Genomic DNA, 19,769 nt, shown 5'->3' with positions numbered 1-19,769 from the left:
ACCAGGAAGCAGGCCCTCCTGAGACATTGAATCTGCTTGTGCCTTGTTCTTGGACTTTCCAGCCTCTAGAGCTATAAGAAAAAAATTTCTGTTAGTCACAAACAACAACAACAACAAAAACAAATTACAAAAGAAAACATGTAGAGAAAAACAAAAATGGACAGGACAGACCTAAACTTATAGGATGCAATGAAGAGAGTGCTCAGTGGAAAATTATTATTATTATTATTTGAGACAAGGTCTGGCTCTGGTCCCCCAAGCTGCAGTGCTGTGGCATGATCACAGCTCACTGCAGCTTTGAATTCCTGGGCTCAAGCAATCTTCTCACCTTGGCCTCGCAAAGTGCTGGGAGTACAGGTGTGAGCCACATTACCTGGCCTCAGTAGGAAATTTATAGCTGTAAATACCTATAAATAATTTTATATCTTGAGGAACTACCAAAAAAGAGGAAAGTAAACTAATCTAACAGAAGAAAGGAAATAATAAAGAAGGGAAATACGTGAAATGGAGAATAGATAAGAATCTATTCAATGAGAATCAATGAAACTAAAAGTTACTCTTTGCAATGATCGATAACATTGAAAAACTTCACCTAGATTGACAAAAAAGGCAGAAGATGCAAATAATTAAAATTAGAAATGAAACTGGGGCACACTACAACAAACTATTCAGAAATAAAGATTATAAGAGGATACTATGAACAATTAATTGTACAACTAGTTAGATAACCTAAATGAAGTGGACACATTTCTAGAAACACAGAAATTAACTGGATTAAACAGTAATGAAAAATCTCAAGAGACCTATAACAAGAAAAGAGATTAAATCAGTATTTCAAAACTTTCCAACAATGAATTGTCAATTCACAAATGAATTGTACTAAACATTTAAAGAGTAATCAACACCAGTGTTTCTCAATATCCTCCAAAAAAGTAGAACAGGAGGCCGGGTGTTGTGGCTCATGCCTGTAATCCCAGCACTTTGGGAGGCTGAGCCAGGTGAATCACAAGGTAAAGAGATCAAGACCATCCTGGCCAACATGGTGAAACCCCATCTCTACTAAAAACACAAAAATTAGCTGGGCGTGGTGGTATGCACCTGTAGTCCCAGCTACTCGGGAGGCTGAAGCAGGAGAATTGCTTGAACCTGGGAGGTGGAAGTTGCAGTGAGCCGACATTGCGCCACTACACTCCAGCCTGGCAACAGAGCGAGACTCTGTCTCAAACCAAACCAAACCAAACCAAACCGAAACAAAACAAAACATGAGAGAACACTTTTTTTTTTCTTTTTTTCTTTTTTGAGATGAGATCTTGCTCTGTCACCCAGGCTGGAGTGCAGTGGCATGATTTCAGCTCACTGCAACCTGCGCCTCCCGAGTTCAAGCGATTCTCCTGCCTCAGCCTCCCCAGTAGCTGGGATTACAGGTGCATGCCACCATGCCCAGCCAATTTTTTGTATTTTTAGTAGAGCCTGGCTTTCACCATGTTGGCCAGGCAGGTCTCAAAGTCCTGACTTCAAGTGATCCGCCTGCCTTGGTCTCCCAAAGTGCTGGCATTACAGGCATGAGACACTGTGCCTGGCCAGAGAGAACACTTTCTAAATCCATGAGGCCATTCATTACATTGTTACTGAAGCCAGATAAAAAATATCTCTTGCTGGGAGTGGTGGCTCATGCCTGTAATCCTAGCACTTTGGGAGGCCCAGGGTGGTCAGATTGCTTGAGCTTAGGAGTTGGAGGCCAGCCTGGGTAACATGGCGAAACCTCATCTCTACAAAAAAAAATACAAAAATTAGCCAGGTGTGGTGGCTCATGCCTGTAATCCCAGCACTTTCGGAGGCTGAGATGGGCGGATCACCTGAAGTCAGGAGTTTGAGACCAGCCTGGCCAACATGGTGAAACCCTGTCTCTACTAAAAATAGAAAAAAATTAGCCAGGTGTGGTGATGCACACCTGTAGTCCCAGCTACTTGAGAGGCTGAGGCAGGAGAATCGCTTGAACCCGGGAGGCGGAGGTTGTGGTGAGCCGAGATCACACCACTGCAATCCAGCCTGGGCAACAAGAGCAACACTCCACACACACACACACACACACACACACACACACACACACACACACACACACACAAAGTAGCCAGGCATGGTGATGCGTCTGTGGTCCTAGCTTCTTGAGAGGCTGAGGTGGGAGGATGGCTTGAGCCTGTGGTGGTCAAGACTGCATTGAGCCAAGATTGTGCCACTGCACTCCAGCCTGGGCAATAGTGTGAGACTCCATCTCAAAAAAAAAAAAAAAAAAAAAGCTAAAGAGAAAGAAATTAGAGACTATCTTTCATGAATATAGATGCAAAAATCCTTAAAAAATATTAGCAAATCATATCCAACAGCACATTAAAAGCACTATACACCATGACTAGTGAGATTTATCTAGGAATGCAAGGTTGGTTCAACAAAAGGAAATTTAAAAAATGTAATTCTTCACATTAGTACAAAAGACAAAAAATCCCACAGAATCACCTCAACTAATGCAGGAAAGGCATTTGATGAAACCCAACACTTTTCCTTGATAAAAATTAAGAAAACTGGCCAGGCGTGGTGGCTCACACCTGTAATCCCAGCACTTTGGGTGGCCAAGGCAGGTGGATCATGAGGTCAGGAGTTGGAGACCAGCCTGGCCAAGCTGGTGAAACCCCGTCTCTACTAAAAATACAAAAAAATTAGCCAGGTGTTGTGGTGGGCACTTGGGAGTGCCCACCTACTTGGGAGGCTGAGGCAGAGAATTGCTTGAACCCGGGAGGTGGAGGTTGCAGTGAGCCAAGATCATGCCACTGCACTCCAGCCTGGGTGACAGAGCGAGATTGTCTCAAAAAAAAAATTAAGAAAACTAGAAACAGAAGGGAGTTTATTCAACGTGACAAAACGCACTTACGAAAACACAGCTAACGTGATATTCAATAGTGAATGCCTGAAAATTCTCCCTAAGACCAGGAAGGAGAGAAAGATGTCTGATTTTTCTATTGTTATTCAACATTCTACAGGAAATTCTTTTTTTTTTTTTTTTTTTGAGATGAAGTTTTGCTCTTGTCACCCAGGCTGGAGTGCAATGGAGCCATCTCCACTCACTGCAAACTCCGTAACCTCCGCCTCCCAGGTTCAAGTGATTCTCCTGCCTCAGCCTCCCGAGTAGCTGGGATTACAGGTGCCAACCACCACGCCTGGCTAATTTTTTGTATCTTTAGTAGAGACGGGGTTTCACCATGTTGGTCAGGCTGGTCTTGAACTCCTGACCTCAGGTGATCCACCCACCTCGGCCTCCCAAAATGTTGGGATTACAGGAGTGAGCCACCGTGCCCAGCCTCTACAGGAAATTCTAGCCAGAGCAATTACACAAGAAAATAAAATAAAAGGTTTCTCAATTAGAATAGAACAAATAAAAATATATTTATAGGTGATATTTGATATATAGAGAATTTTGAAGAATCTACAAGAAAACTAGCAGAGCTTGTAATAAATTCCGTAAAGTTGCACAGTACAACATCAAGAGATGAAAATTAGTTTTGTATCTATACACCAGCAATGAACAATCAGAAAAGGAAACTGAGAATGTGATCCCTTTTACAAATAAGTTACATGGGAATAACTTTACCCCAAGAGGTAAAATATTTGTAAACTGAAAATTTCAAAACATTACTGAAAGAGTTTAAAGAAGACCTAAATAGAGAGATATTGTATATTCACACATAGGAAGACTCAGTATTATAAAGATACCAATATAACCCGAAGATTCAACTAAATCTCTACCACAAGTCCAACAGTCCTTTCTTTTTCTGCACAGAATAAGTGAAGAATGCCTGGTATCAGTGTTATTTCATAAAGTAGTACAGGAGGCTTTGAATCATTTGATAAGATTTGAGAAATAGTAACAAATACATTGTTGAAGAAGAAAAAAAAATACAATAAGGCCAGGCATGGTGCATGATGGCTCACGCCTGTAATCCCACTTCGGGAGTGCAGGGCGGGCAGATCACTTGAGCCCAGGAGTTCCAGACCAGCCTGGGCAACATGGTTAGATCCTGTCTCTACAAAATAATAATAATGATGATAATAATAATAATACAAAAATTAGCCGGGTGCGGTGCGCCCGTGGTCCCAGCTACTCGGGAGGCTGAGGTGGAAGGATGGCTTGAGCCTGGAGAGGTGGAGACTGCAGTGAGCCGTGTTCCTACCACTGCATTCCAGCCTTGGCAACCGAGCCAGACCCTACCTCGAAGAAAAAAAGAAAAGAAAAGAAAAAAGAAAGAAAAGAAAAAAATTGCAATATTTACAGAAAGTATCGATAACTGAAAACGCAGAGGAATCAATGATTAGAGTTTAGCAAGGTCAGATAAATAAAAAGAAATAAGAGAAAATAAAGTTCTAAAGACGTGATCGAATGCAGGAAGCAGGCCATTTTGTGGATTGGCAGGTTATCAACTGGAGAGAATCCTGAAAGGGGTCCAGGAACGTGGGGAAAGTTTCTAATGAGCATCCTGAGGGGCGAGTCCATCGCCCGACGTTTCGCCTTCCTGGTCCATTCTGCCACCGAAGCCACCGGCTGGGTCTGGTCCCACCTCCAGCCCCGCCCCCGGGCATGGGCCCCGCCCACAGCCCTGATTTAACCCCCACCTTTCTCTGTGGGTCCATTTCTCTCTTGCCCACCCAGGCACTGAGCCGACCCCTTGATACCTCCGCACCCACGCGGAGGGAAACTAGAATCCTGAAGAGTTCCATCCTGTCCAACTGCCCACACAACGAGCCACGCCCCTTCCAATGCCCCAAACGGAAGTGACGTTGCGGCGCGCCAGTTCTCTCTTTTGGTCGCTGGCGCCTGTTTCCTCAGAGCCACTTTTTCCTTTGTGTTGTCTGGTCGTTCACTACTTTGGTGAGGCTCGTGTGGACTAGTGGGTTGGGCGGTGTTTCGGGGGGTGGCAGAGGTCACAATCGACCCAGGGTAATCGAGGAACCTCCTTACAGAGGCCTGGACCACTCCACAGGAGTCCGCAGGAGTCGCGGAGCCATCGGGTGAGGCCACGTCGAAGAGGCCATTGGGACCTTCGGTCCCCTAGAGGAGCCGGGTGGGAAGTGCAGTATGGGCGCGTCCGAGGGCTGTTTTCAGCCGTGTGTTCCCGTCTTCAAAAGTGTCCAAGCGTTCTGAGGCCTTAAAAAATAAGTCTCCAAGGCAACGTTTGTGAATTGTGTTTCAGAGGGAAAAGAATTTTGCCGTTCGCGTTCGATTGACTCCGTCCCCAAGATCCTGTAGCCCCACGGACCTGGCGACTCCACCGTGTTCGGGTGAGCATTGGGAAAAAGTTGGTTTAAGGGGGCAGCTGCTTCCTTTTTTATGCAAACGAGTGTTTCATGTGAGATTTTGGCATTTTGCCTTTGTGAAACCTGTATATTTTTTATTGACACATTACGTTCCGGTAGAAAGGTGCTTTCTTAGTTGTCTAGGGTGTGCGTATTTCTGCATGTGCATATAAACGTTTGTAGACCGCGAGTCTTTCTACTAAAGAAACCTAAGAATACTCAGCCATTCTTTTCATCTGAAGTTCCTAGCTCTGTACGTCTCCAAAGAGCTTCATAACCAGGCTTCCTGGAAGAAAGGATGGAGGGTTTACACACTAATACTAGAATAATCGAATTTACCATTAACAGGATGACTGTACTAAGTGTATTTTTCCCGCATTTTTTTTCGAAAAAACTTAAACCTATGGGTATGTTGACCATCCAGTACCACGAATAAATATCCATTGTAGCTGCACCTGTTTTTTAGCGTTTTGTGTATTCGCCGTCTCGTAAATAAATTTTATGGTGAACAGTTTGAGAGTCAATGGGAAATTCATTGCAGAGATGAAGCTCGACATTTTTTTTTTTTTTTTTTTTTTGAGAGGGGGTCTAGCTGTGTCGCCCAGGCTGGAGTGCAGTGGCGCGATCTCGCCTCACTGCAACCTCTGCCTCCCGGGTTCAAGCGATTCTCCTGCCTCAGCTTCCCAAGTGGCTGTAATTACAGGGGTGTGCCACCGTGCCCGGATAATTTTTTGTATTTTTGTAGAGATGGGGTTTCACCGTGATAGCCAGGATGGTAAGCTCGACATTTAAGTAGTGGGTAATGCCTGACTCAATGATAAGAGTGTTGTTTTACTAAAACCGTAATACTATTTGCATCAAGAAAATTAAAAATAATAATGTTATCTAATATTTACTATGTATAATAAATGAAAATTCTCCAAATTCTTCTAAAATATAACGGAATGTTTTTGGATCTGAGCTCTATTCAAGATTTTTTTTTTTTGAGAGTTTTTTTGAGGCAGGATGTTGCCTTGTTGCCCAGGCTGGAGTGCGGTGGCATGATATTGGCTCACTGCAACCACCGCTTACCACGCCCAACTTTGTGTTTCTGTGCCTGGTTTATTTCACTTAACGTACTGTCCTCCAGTTCTATCTACGTTGTTGAAAATGACAGGATTTCATTCTATTTTTTTTTTGAGACACAGTCTCGTTCTGTCGCCAGGGTGGAGTGCAGTGGTGTGATCTCGACTTACTGCAACCTCTGCCTCCCTGGTTCAAGCGATTCTCCTGCCTCAGCCTTTTGAGTAGCTGGGATTTCAGGCACGTGCCACCTCGCCCAGCTAATTTTTGTATTTGTAGTGGAGATGGGGTTTCACCATGTTGGCCAGGATGGTCTTGATCTCCTGACCTCGTGATCCGCCTGCCTCAGCCTCCCAAAATGCTGAGATTACAGGCGTGAGCCACTGCACCTGGCCAGGATCTTCTTTGTTGTCTTTTGTTTTTCTTGCCTTCCTCCCTGTCCCCCCCACCCCCACCTTTTTTTTTTCCAAGTTCAGCTTTTTATTGAACACATTTCAGAAGAGGTTTAGTCAAAAAGACCAAAGCCAGGCCTGGTGCGGTGTCTCACGCCTATAATCCCAGCACTTTGGGAGGCTGAGGCAGGTGGATCACGAGGTCAGTAGTTCTCTACCAACCTGGCCAAGATGGTGAATCCCTGTCTCTACTAAAAATACAAAATACAAAAATATATATATATTTGCGGGGTTTTTTTGTTTTTTGTTTTTTGTTTTTGAGATTCATTTTGTCGCCCAGGGTGGAGTGCAGTGTCACGATCCTAGCTCACTGCAGCCTTGAACTACTGGGCTCAAGTGATCCTCCCACCTCAATCTCAGAAAATGTTGGGATTACAAGCATGAGCCACCATCCCTTGCAGGACGCCCAGAATATCTTGTTCCCCGGCAACGTTCCTACTAATTATTTTAGCATCCATGAGTAAGCTGCAGTAAATGAACTTCTTTATATGTAGTTAACATTTTTATAAGTGTATTACTAGGTTAAACCTTTAATATTGGACTTTAGGTCAGAGGACAAATATACATTTAATTTTGCTGGATATTATAAATTCCCATCCATAGGTCTTGTACCATTTGGCAGTTTCTGAATGGATGTATTGTAAAGTGTAAAAATTATTCTGGAGAGAAATAAGGAACAGACTTTAGTTTGTTTTTTGTTTGTTTTTTCTGTTTGTTTGTTTTACTGTTGCTACATCTGAAAATAGATTTTAGTTTTAACTGAAAGCCACTTGTTTTCAAAAAGAAAGTCAGTGTCTTGTTCAGTTTCATCCTGAATAAGAATACTCAAATATATTTTCAGAAGTATAGTGTTCTTTCTTTCTTTTCTTTCTTTCCCCGCCCCCGACTTTTTGAGACAGATTCTTGCTCTGTTGCCCAGGCTGGAGTGCAGTGGTGCCATCTGAATACACTGCACCCTCCGCCTCCTGGGTTCAAGTGATTCTCATGCCTCAGCCTCCCAAGTAGATGGGATTACAGGCATGCACCACCACGCCTGGCTAATTTTGGTATTTTTTTGTAGAGATGCGGTATCATCATGTTGGCCAGGCTGGTCTTGAACACCTGGCATCAAGTGATTGGCCCACCTTGGCCTCCCAAAGTGCTGGGATTGCAGCCGTGAGCTACTACTGTGGCTGGCCAGAAGTGTAGTGTTTTGGTTTATATTTTATGTGTGAGACATTTTATATGAGTGTTGTTTAATTCTTGTGTTGTATATTCTATTTCTTTTTTAAAAATAAATATCCTATTTATTCAGTGTATCACTCCAGCCTGTGGCAGTAATTTTGAATCCAGTTCTATCAGTCATCAAATTCTATAGTCCATTTACAAATTTGATAAGCATGCTGTGTCTTGTTTAATTGCCTTAGCTGAAACCTACAGTAGAATTTTATTATTATTTATTTTTATTTATTTTTTTTTGGTGATAGAGTCTTGCTCTGTTGCTCTGGCTAGAGTGCGGTGGTGCAACCTCGGCTTGCTCCAACCTCTGCCTATAACAGAATGTATTTCCACACTCAGTCAATAGGCAAAATTCATTTCCTTGCAGTTATAGGACTTGTTGCTGGCTGTTGCTAGAGGCTGTGCTCAGCTCCTAGAATCTACCAGCAGGTTTTTTGTTTGTTTGTTTGTTTGTTTTGTTTGTTTGTTTTTTTTTGAGACGGAGTTTCACTCTTATTGCTGTCTGGAGTGCAGTGGTGTGACCTTGGCTCACCACAACCTCTGCCTCCCGGGTTCAAGTGATTCTTTTGCCTCAGCCTACTGAGTAGCTGGGATTACAGGCATTCGCCACCATGCCTGGCTAATTTTTTGTTTTGTTTTGTTTTGAGACGGAGTTTTGCTCTTGTCGCCCAGGGTGGAGTGCAGTGGCGTGATCTTGGCTCACTGCAACCTCTGCCTCCCAGGTTCAAGCAATTCTCCTGCCTCATCTTCCCGAGTAGCTGGGATTACAGGCACCTGCCACCATGCCTGGCTAATTTTTTGTATTTTTAGTAGTGACAGGGTTTCGCCATGTTGGGTAGGCTGGTCTCGAACTCCTCACATCAGGTGATCCACCCACGTTGGCCTCCCAAAGTGCTGGGATTACAGGGGTGAGCCCCTGCACCTGGCCTCCCTCCCATCTTTTAATGCAACATGATAAAGCTTAACATGTTCCATTAAAAGATAAATGCTTAAGGAATGCAGCCCTTTGTTCCTAGCAGATATGATCGTGAATTTGGAGCTGAGATGGATAACTTGGTAACTGGCATGTTCACAGTTTTGCCTAGTCAGCATCCACATGTGCCCATCTATACACACTTTGATTCTCTTATAATGGTTAAGTCTGCATTTCCACTTAACAAGATTGAAGGGAGAATTTCTCACCCCTAAGTGAGAATGTGCACAGCCCCTCATCACAGGCCATATTAATTTCTTTTTTTTTTTTTTTTTTTGAGATGGAGTCTCACTCTTTCGCCCAGGCTGGGAGTGGTGGTGTGATCTCAGCTCTCTGCAACCTCCGCCTCCCAGGTTCAAGTGATTCTCCTGCCTCAGCTTCCAAGTAGCTGGGATTACAGGTGCACACCACCACGCCCAGCTAATTTTTGTATTTTTAGTAGAGACAGTGTTTCACCATGTTGGCCAGGCTGGTCTGGAACTCCTGACCTCAGGTGATGTGCCCACCTCGGCCTTCCAAAGTGCTGGGATTACAGGTGTGAGCCACCATGCCTGAAGCCATGTTAATTTCTACTGAAATTTAGTCATATTCTCCTTGAATATTCTGTTACCTGAAGACTAAATTAAAAATTTAACCTCTAGTAACTTATATACAAAATAGAAATAGAAAAGAGACAGAAGTGAATGATTGGTTTATGTAAATACATGCTTAGAAACTAACATGTATACGTAACAATCAAAGAGAAAACCTGGGGCTGGGTGTGGTGGCTAACACCTGTAATCCCGGCACTTTGGGAGGCGGGTGGATCACTTGACGTCAGGAGTTTGAGACCAGCCTGGCCAACATGGTGAACCCCTGTCTCTACTGAAAATACAAAAATTAGTTGGGCGTGGCGGGCGCCTGTAATCCCAGCTACTTGGGAGGCTGAGGCAGGAGAATGGCTTGAATCTGGGAGGTGGAGGTTGCAGTGAGCTGAGATGGCACAACTGCACTCCTGCCTGGGCAACAGAGTGAGATTCCGTCTCAAAAAAGCAAAAACAGAAAACCTGCCAGACTACTGCAGTTGTTGTTTCTGTCATTGATCTTGAAGTTATAGTTGCTATCCATGGTTTTACTTTTTCGATGAACATTTTTTGTATTTTCCTTGCCCTCAGCCAGAATCAGCAGCTCTGGGCTCTGTACCTGATGGAGTGACTCAAACCTTCCTTCTGAAGGGATCTTGGTCCTCCATTTTCCTGCCTTTTTTCTACGGTAATTTTTTGTTAACCTTTCTAAGTGGTATGGAAGTGCTAGGAGGTTCTAGACATCATTCTTTTTGCCTCAGTTGTATAGTAGTACCCCAGTTTCCCTTTGGTAGTTGAGATTAATCCCTTCAGTTAATAGATTATACCCTCTCACCTCCTTATTTTTCTTTTTCTTCTTGGTTTAATGGATATGAAACTTATAAGGGCCAGATGTTAATCTCACTTTCCAGTGTATTGGGACCAAATAAATAGTTGCCCCTGGGGAAGCATTCCCCATTATGGACTCAGATCTCCAAATTACAGTGCTCTACATTGCTGGGATTGGAAGCAAAATTTTTGTCTTAGAGCTAATTCTGCCTTCACCCATCAATTCCTGGGCCTGTTTGTTCTGACTGTGGTGAGATAGTAGTATCTAGTGATCTCTGATTCAGAGCATACACTGTGTCTTGTGAAACAGAATCCCATTCTTTCAGAGGTTGTCTCCCAGTTGGCCCTGTATCTGAATTTTCAGTAAGCTATTTCACCTTTCATTTAGACTAGCTGCTTCTGAGTGATGGGGTGTGTGATGAGACCAGCTGATGAGAGGGACATGTTCCCACTGTTGCACTTCCTTTGCAGTGAAATGGGTTCCTTGATGAAAGATGGTATTGTGTGAATGCTGTGACTGCAGTGAAAGCATTTTGTGAGTGCATGGATTATGCATTGTATAGGCAAAAGCCTAGTGGATTTGCCTCTCCTCTGTACAAATCTGCCTCTATACAAATCCTATATGGATTTGCCTCTCTACTAGTTAGGCTTCTGGCAAATCCATATCCAGAACACGAGTCTATTCCAGTGAAGATGAATCTTAGTCACCTTCATGATAGGAGTGGTCCAATGTAATCATCTTGCCACCAGCTGGCTCCCCTGGTTACTCTAGAAATTAATGCCCTTGGTTCAAGACTAACCTGGGCAACATGGTGAAACCCCATCTCTATGAAAACAAAAAATCAACCCCCCTACGAAAACCACCCAGATTAGCCAGGCTTGATGATACATGCCTGTAGTCCTAGCTACTCAGGAGCATGAGGCAGAAAGATTGCTTGAGCCCAGGAGATTGAGGCTGCAGTGAGCTGTGATCATGCCACTGCACTCCAGCCTGGGTGACAGAGTGAGACCTGTCCCCCCCCCAAAAGAAAAGAAAAAAGAAATTAATGCCCTTATATATTCAGTTTTGGTTTTTGCTTTTAGCAGATTAGGCACCTAGCAGTAGCATTAGCTGCATTAGCTTTGGTAAATGGAAGTCCATACTGTTGAGCCATAGTAGCCTTTATCCCTGTTTTTTTTTTTTTTTTTTTTGAGACGGAGTCTCGCTCTGTCGCCCAGGCTGGAGTGCAGTGGCAGGATCTCGGCTCACTGCAACCTCTGCCTCCCAGGTCCAAGCGATTCTCCTGTCTCAGCCTCCTGAGTAGCTGGGACTACAGACGCGTGCCACCACACCCAGCTAATTTTTTGTATTTTTAGTAGAGATGGGGTTTCACCATGTTAGCCAGGATAGTCTCAATCTCCTGACCTCATGATCTGCCAGCCTCAGCCTCCCAAAGTGCTGGGATTACAGGTGTGAGCCACCATGCCTGGCCAAGAATCTTATAGGTCTGCCAAGTGTTGCACCTAATTTTGGGGAGCACTAACTAGGAATGACACCTTGGAGGGGATATCTTGATATGGTCTAGACAACTGAACCCACAAATCTTTGTTGATTGGATGGGGCATGGTGGCTCAGGCCTGTAACTCTAACACTTTGGGAGGCCAAGGCAGGCAGATTGCTTGAGGCCAGGAGTTCGAGACCAGCCTGGCCAACATAGTGAGATCCCATCTATACCAAAAAAGATTAAAAGAAAAAAAATTACCTGGTGTAGTAATGTGCACCTGTCGTCCCAGATGCTTGGGAGGCTGAGGTGGGAGGATCACTTGAGCCTAGAAGGTGGAGGTTGTGGTGAGCCGTGATCACACCACTGCACTCCAGCCTGGGCAACAGAGCAAGACCCTGTCTCAAAAAAACAAAACAAAACCAACTTTGTTTATTTAGCTGGCTCTTGAATCTCCCATCCTCTACTTTGTAGCCTGTAAAGGTATCCAAACTATTTACTGTTTCCTGTTCATGGGATATCATGTACAAAATATTTTCAATGTGATGGAGTGTTGCAATGTTTTGTGTAATAGCAAAACCTCTGAAGACTATTTCGGTGGAAAACAGGAGAATTGATATAAGTTATGATAGTCCCCCGTAATTCTCCAAAGTCGATGTGACTTCTGCACAATCCTGAGTGGTGTGTTACCTAGGTCTGGTGATTGGGTGAGAGACTTTGAATCTCCCCTGTGGTGACTCTTATCAGGTTTTTGGCCATTAGACTTGAGACTTCTTGTTACATAGATCAAGCAATATTCCAAGACTTACATTGGCAAACTGTGGCTTATGGGACACACCTAATCTTCAACCTGTTTTTGTAAATTATAATTGGAACAGAACAACTATGTTCATTTGTTTATATATTTTCTGAGGCTTCTTTCATACTACAAGGACAGAGTTGAGTATTTGTAACAGAGACTGTGTGGCCCACAGAGTATAACATTTACTATATGTCACATTACAACAAGATTTATTAATCCCTGTTATAGTAGGGTTCTTATCTGTTTCATGCTAGTGACGAAATGTGATCAGTTTGCTAACACCAATAATCTCTGCAGGCCAAAGCATTCCAATTATTGGTACATTCAGTGTGCCCTTGACATTCGATGTGGCCTCATTGTCTTTGATAGTTAAGTGCTACCCACTTGGTTTTTGGCACTCAAGGTTCTCATCATCCCCATTGAAACAGGGAACTCATCTTAATGATTGTTATCTCCTGTAGTCTTAACAAATGTTTAAAGGAGAATAAACAGAACTTTTCAAGAATGGAAGTATTCCCTTCAGTTATCTATTTCTGAATGCCTTTGTGAAGAGGGTGTCTTCTGGGCCCTTAATGTAGGTTGAAGAAGGGAAGCTGTGCAGATCACATGTGATAAATTCAGTGCAACCTTCCTGTGTGTCTAGGATTCCCTCCTTTACATTAGCCAGGGAAGCTCTTACATATTAACTCTGTTAACTAGGTCATGAGTACAAGTTTCAATCATCCAACCAGTTTAGCTATTAGAATCATGCCATGGTCCATTAGCTAATATGTAAAATTCAAAATGTCTAGTAAGTACCTGTATTAGGCTATTCTCACATTGCTATAAAGAAATACAAGAGACTGGCCGGGTGCAGTGGCTCACACCTGTAATCCCAGCACTTTGGGAGGCTGAGGTGGGCGGATCATGAGGTCAGGAGATTGAGACCATCCTGGCTAACACAGTGAAACCCTGTCTCTACTGAAAATACAAAAAAATTAGCTGGGCGTGGTGGCAGCTGCCTGTAGTCCCAGCTACTCAGAAGGCTGAGGCAGGAGAATGGTGTGAACCTAGGAGGCGGAGCTTGCGGTGAGCCGAGGTCACGCCACTGCACTCCAGCCTGGGTGACATGTCTCAAAAAAAAAAAAATACATGAGACTGGGTAATTTATAAAGAAGTTCCCGGCCACCCAACTGTCTGGGAAGTGAAGAGCACCTCTGCCTGGCCACCGCCCTGTCTGACAAGTGATGAGCACCTCTGCCCGGCAGCCCCACTGTCTGGAAAGTGAGGAGCATCTCTGCTCAGCTGCCTACCGTCTGGGAAGTGAGGAGCGCCTCTGCTCAGCCACCACACCGTCTGGGAAGTGAGGAGCACCTCTGCCTGGCCACCACCCTGTCTGGGAAGTGAGGAGCGACTCTGTCTGGCCACTGCAGTGTCTAGGAAGTGAGGAGTGCCTCTAACCGGCCGCCGCACTGTCTGGGAAGCGAGGAGCGCCTCTGCCTGGCCGCCCCACTGTCTGGGAAGTGAGGAGCACCTCTGTCGAGCCACTGTGCAAACCTCCAAGTGTGAAGTGACAGCCTTGTGTGTGATCTTTCTGCCCTCTCCAAGTTTGCATTTTCAACATTAAAGTTTATTTTTTAATTAAAAGTTTTAAATTGCAGAATAAAAAAAGTTTAATTGGCTCACAGTTCTGCAGGCTGTACAGGAAGCATAGTGACTTCTGCCTCTGGGGAGGCCTCTGGAAGCTTCCAGTCATGGCAGAAGGTGAAGCAGGAGTAGGTACATCTTATATGGCAGGAGCCAGGAGCAAGGGAGAATGAGGGGGAGGTGCTGTACACTTTTAAATGACCAGATCATGAGGACAGTATCAAAGGAGATGGTGCTAAACCATTCATGAGAAATCTGCCCCCATGATCCAATCATCTCCCACCAGACCTCACCTCCAACACTGGGGACTACAGTTCCACATGAGATTTGGTGGGGACACAGATCCAAACCATATCAGTGCTCCATATCAATGAATTTGGGCCTATCTAATGTTAACATTTTAACCTTCTTGATCTAATACCCTTAGAATCCATCCCATACATGTTCCCTGGGTTTCTTGTGATATATTATCAGAGTTGGAATTTTTTTGTTGTGTGAGCTTTTTTCTCTTGCATTATGTTGTATATCTTTCTCCCTGGATTTTGGACTAGTTAGGACTCTAGTGATAAAAATAAGTGATAATGGTGTGGATCTTGAGGAGAATATATATTACCTTCCAAGGTATCTGGACCAAATGAGATTGTCACAAAAATTTCAAGCAGAAGGCTTTCTCCTCAGAAACCAAAGGGTAAGCTACGTCCCTGGTAAGGGAGGCTCAAAGTGTCTTAGGTTGTGTTAGTCTCTTTATTATTGCTATGACATAATACCTGAGTAATTTATAAAGAAAAGAGGTTTCTTTGGCTCAGGATTCTGCTGGTTGGAAAGTCTAAGAGCATGGCCCCAGCATCTGCTCTACTTCTGATGAGGCTCACGTGTTGCGGCAAAACATGGTAGAGAGGCAGAAGAGGAAGCAGGCTTGTGCAAAAGGGACCAAACACAAACAGCAGCCTTGCTTTATAACAGTTAGCTCCTGTGGGAACTAATTCAGTCCTGTGTGAGCTAAAATTCACTTCTGCCTGGTAGCATTAATCTATTTATGTGAGATCTACCCCCATGACCCAAACATCTCATTAGGCCCCTCCTTCCAGTGCTGTGATATTGAGGACCAAGCCTCAACAGGAGTTGTGATGGGGACAGACCACATCCAAATCATAGTGGGGTTTAAGATCATGTTTCTTATCTGGATCCAACCAGATGTCTTCGTTCCAGGTTCCATATTGTCATTCTTCCCTGAATACATTGTACATTTTAAAAAATTCATATTTTCTTGATGCCTCAGCATTCTAACAAACAGGCTGTGAGCTCCCTGCTCAAGTGACCAGATGTACAAGGATGATAAGGTACTTATGCTACAAGTTCTTCTGTTGGCCCTCCCCTGACCATGACCTAGTAACATTCAAATGCACCAATGAAATCTAATGCCTTTTGCTTTAGTACTATACCCCAAGCCCCAGTAAAGGCAGTTGCCCTCAAGGGAGGCTTCTCTCTTAGCTCCCTACATGCTTGTCAGAGCCTCCTGCTTTGGTCCTCCTCCAGCATGGACCCCTGCATGGCATGGCATGCCTCCCTTTCTAGGATCTATGAGTATAATAAATCTAATATCATGAGCCTCTCAAAGTGTAATTGCAAGAGTGTGTTGGAGGGATCCTGAAACATCCCACAAAAGTGACTTAGTGCCCCATTTACAACACAGTTGGTAAAAAGGGTGAAGATCACTTTGAACTGGGGTGGAAAGTCTCTTGTAAGTGCCCTTTGTCCTTTTGTGGCTTGCTGATTGGCCATATAAGTAAAATGCTTATTCCTTTAGAAATGCTTGTTCCTCTGTGCTGAGAAGAACTAGTACTCAGACAAAGAATTTTCTCAGCAAGGCAATTTTACTTTCTGCAGAAAGGGTGGTCCTCGCAGATGGAACAATGACGAGATGACACATGAACAAAGGAGGGAAGCAATTTTTATCCCTTATGGAGCTTGTCCCTGCTGCTGTGTCCTGTCTTCATTGGCTGGAGGTGGACCACACAATCTAAGCTAAACCTGACTGGCCAATAACTTAAAACTTTCCTAAATAGGTAAAGACAAGGGAAAACAAAGGAAAAGAGGAAGTTGCTTACGAAAAGACTTAGAGAAGTAATAACATTTCCAAATAAGGAAGGGGCATAAGCTGTGAGCTGGGACATGGCTGAGCATGTCTAGAATAAATATCTTGGTTAAAGTACAAGGACATAGAATGTACTCATTCCCTTATATCTAACAGCTACATAGGATAGGGCTTAACAAAGAGTTATTAGCACAAAGCAAGGAGGCTTGAAGGAAGTTAGTCTTTAAAAGAAACTATTATTTCTTTTTTTTTTCTTTTCTTCTTTTTTTTTTGAGACAGAGTCTCACTCTTGTTACCCAGGCTAGAGTGCAGTGGCATGATCTTGGCTCACTGCAACCTCCACCTCCTGGGTTCAAGTGATTCTCCTGCCTCAGTCTCCCAAGTGTCTGAGATTACAGGCACCTGCCACCACGCTTGGCTCATTTTTGTCTATTTGCTAGAGACAGGGTTTTGCCATGTTGGCCAGGCTGGTTTCAAACTCCTAACCTCAGGTGATCCACCTGCCTCAGCCTCCAAAAGTGCTGGGATTACAGGTGTAAGCCACCGTGCCCAGCCTAAAAGAAAATATTATTTCTAACACTTATGATTTATTCTTTAACAAGAAGGGAAACTTTGAAGAGGAACTTTTTTACTTTCCACCCTGTACCATTTGGGAAGGCTGCCTGTCTTGTTGGAGTTTATGTGTATTGCTGTGTCATGCTTTGTGTTGTCCCTTCCGAGTGTTGGCCAAGAGTCTTTGTCATAAAGTTTGGACCCTGTGCTAGTCCCCATAATGCACCCCAGGATACTGCTTACCAGCCATGATCCCAGGAAGAGGGGTAATTATCCTGTTCTTCTCCAGGATCTGGAGTCATGTGTTCATGTGAATTGGGCATTTCTTAATGCACATACAAGTGACTGTGATTTGAAGAAGGGACCCTGGCAATAGAATTGGGCTCCTCTTTTGTATATTTGCACCAGCTACACCTTGCTAGGTGCCTCCTATGTTGCGATGCTATTCTGGTTTGGTGCTGATGCTCCCTGCCCCTGCCAGCTCCATGGGTTATGGCAGATGCCTTTCATGGAGAATGGTAGCTCAATGTTTTTTAAAAAGATGAATGGAAGGAGTACTTGATCCCTCTTCCCCTAAGATACTTGAGCATGTTTCTCAACTTATTTGAGGTTACAAATCTTTTGGGGCTGGGCATGGTGGCTCATGCCTGTAATCCCAGTACTTTGGGAGATAGAAGCGGGAGGATCACTTGAGGCCAGGAGTTCAAGACCAGTGTGGCCAAACCCTGTCTCTACTAAAAATACAAAATTAGCTGGGTGTGGCAGTGCACGCCTGTCATCCCAGCTACTAGGGAGGCTGAGGCATGAGAATCAATTGAACCCAGGAGGTGGAGGTTGCAGTGAGCTGAGATCACACCATTGCACTCCAGCCTGGGTGACAGAGCGAGACTCTGTCTCAAAAAAAAAAAAAATCTTTTGGTTAATGTTCTTCAGCACTTTTTTTTTTTTTTTCTTGAGATGTAGTCTTGCTCTGTCGTCCAGGCTGGAGTGCAGTGGTGTGATCTCATCCTTTTTCTGCATCTGTTGACAAGATCATATGATTCTTATACTTAATTCTGTTAATGTGGTTCTAATCACATTGATTTGCATATGTTGAACCATCCGTGCATTCCAGGGATAAATCCTACTTGATCATTATGAATGATAATTTTAATGTGCTGTTGAATTCAGCTTGCTAGTATTTTGTTGAGGATTTTTGCATCTGTATACTTAGGGATATTGGCCTGTAAGTTTCTCTTTGTAGCATCCTTCTTCAGTTTTTTGGAATAATTTCAGAAGGATTGGTTTAGATATTCTTAGATGTCTTATATAATTCAGCCATGAAGCAGTCAAGTCCTAGGTGTGTGTTTGATGGGAGATTTTTAGTTAGTGATTTGGTCTCCTTCTTCATTATTGGTCTGTTCAGATTTTCTCCTTTTTAGTATTTAGTGTTTGGTAGGTTGTGTGTGTCTAGAAATTTGTACATCTCTGCTAGGTTATCCAGTTTGTTGGCATGTAATTTTTCCAAGTAGTCTTTTATGATCCTTTGTATTTCTGTAGTTAACAGTTCTAATGTTTCCTCTCTCATATCTGATTTTATTTGAGTGTTCTTTTTAATTTTTTCTTTTCTTTTTTTTTCTTTTTTTTATTTTTTAAAGGCTTAATTTTATTTATTTATTTACTTATTTACTTATTTTTTGAGATGGAGTCTTGCTCTGTCGCCCAGGCTGGAGTGCAGTGGTGCGATCTCAGCTCACTGCAGCCTCCGCCTCTGCGGTTCAAGCAATTCTCCTGCCTCAGCCTCCCAAGTAGCGCGCGCTGTGACGCCTGGCTAATTTTTTTTTTTTTTTTTTTGTATTTTCGGTAGAGACAGGGTTTCACCATGTTCGCCAGGATAGTCTCAAACTCCTGACCTCAAGTCATCTGCCTGCCTCAGCCTCCCAAAGTGCCGGAATTACAGGTGTGAGCCACCATACTCTGCCAGAAAACAATTATTAATGAGATATGTTATGCTTCTTTTATACTAAGCCTTTAAAATCTGGTGTGCACTTCACATTTAGAGCACACTTCAATTCAGACACAGGTCATTTCAAGTGCTCAGTAGCCACACATGTCTAGTGGCTGCCATATTGGGTAGTGCGGCTCTAGTGCAATGGCTTTCAGCAGTTCTTCTGTTTCTTTTTTTTTTTTTTAATTGATCATTCTTGGGTGTTTCTCACAGAGGGGGATTTGGCAGGATCATAGGACAATAGTGGAGGGAAGGTCAGCAGATAAGCAAGTGAACAAAGGTCTCTGGTTTTCCTAGGCAGAGGACCCTGGGGCCTTCCACAGTGTTTGTGTCTCTGGGTACTTGAGATTAGGGAGTGGTGATGACTCTTAACGAGCATGCTGCCTTCAAGCATCTGTTTAACAAAGCACATCTTGCACCACCCTTAATCCATTTAACCCTGAGTGGACACAGCACATGTTTCAGAGAGCACCGGGTTGGGGGTAAGGTCACAGATCAACAGCAACCCAAGGCAGAAGAATTTTTCTTACTACAGAACAAAATGGAGTCTCCTATGTCTACTTCTTTCTACACAGACACAGCAACAATCTGATTTCTCTATCTTTCCCCCACATTTCCCCCTTTTCTATTCGACAAAACCGCCATCGTCATCATGGCCCGTTCTCAATGAGCTGTTGGGTACACCTCCCAGATGGGGTGGCGGCCGGGCAGAGGGGCTCCTCACTTCCCAGAAGGGGCAGCCGGGCAGAGGCGCCCCCCACCTCCCAGACGGGGCGGCGGCCGGGCGGAG

The 19,769-nt window shown here is 43.9% G+C and overlaps 1 protein-coding gene across 5 annotated transcripts in view; it reads left to right on the top strand.

Annotated features, from left to right (window-relative positions):
- The window catches only part of ZNF560 (zinc finger protein 560), a 60,817-nt gene that overhangs the window by 3,240 nt on the left and 37,808 nt on the right, over positions 1-19,769 (top strand). For 3 of the 5 annotated variants that reach the window (XR_007066601.1, NM_001351678.2, NM_152476.3), the window contains exons 1-2: positions 4,837-4,915; positions 5,238-5,325. The gene's annotated coding sequence lies outside the window, so the exon portion shown is untranslated. Of the gene's footprint in view, positions 1-4,836; positions 4,916-4,960; positions 5,056-5,237; positions 5,326-19,769 lie in introns of those variants that run through there. The other 2 variants (XM_011527696.3, XM_011527697.3) reach the window with 2 other exon arrangements.

Source organism: Homo sapiens, chromosome 19 (genome assembly GCF_000001405.40).
Source record: "Homo sapiens chromosome 19, GRCh38.p14 Primary Assembly".
Taxonomy (NCBI): domain Eukaryota; kingdom Metazoa; phylum Chordata; class Mammalia; order Primates; family Hominidae; genus Homo; species Homo sapiens.
This window is presented reverse-complemented; position numbering and strand designations above follow the sequence as displayed.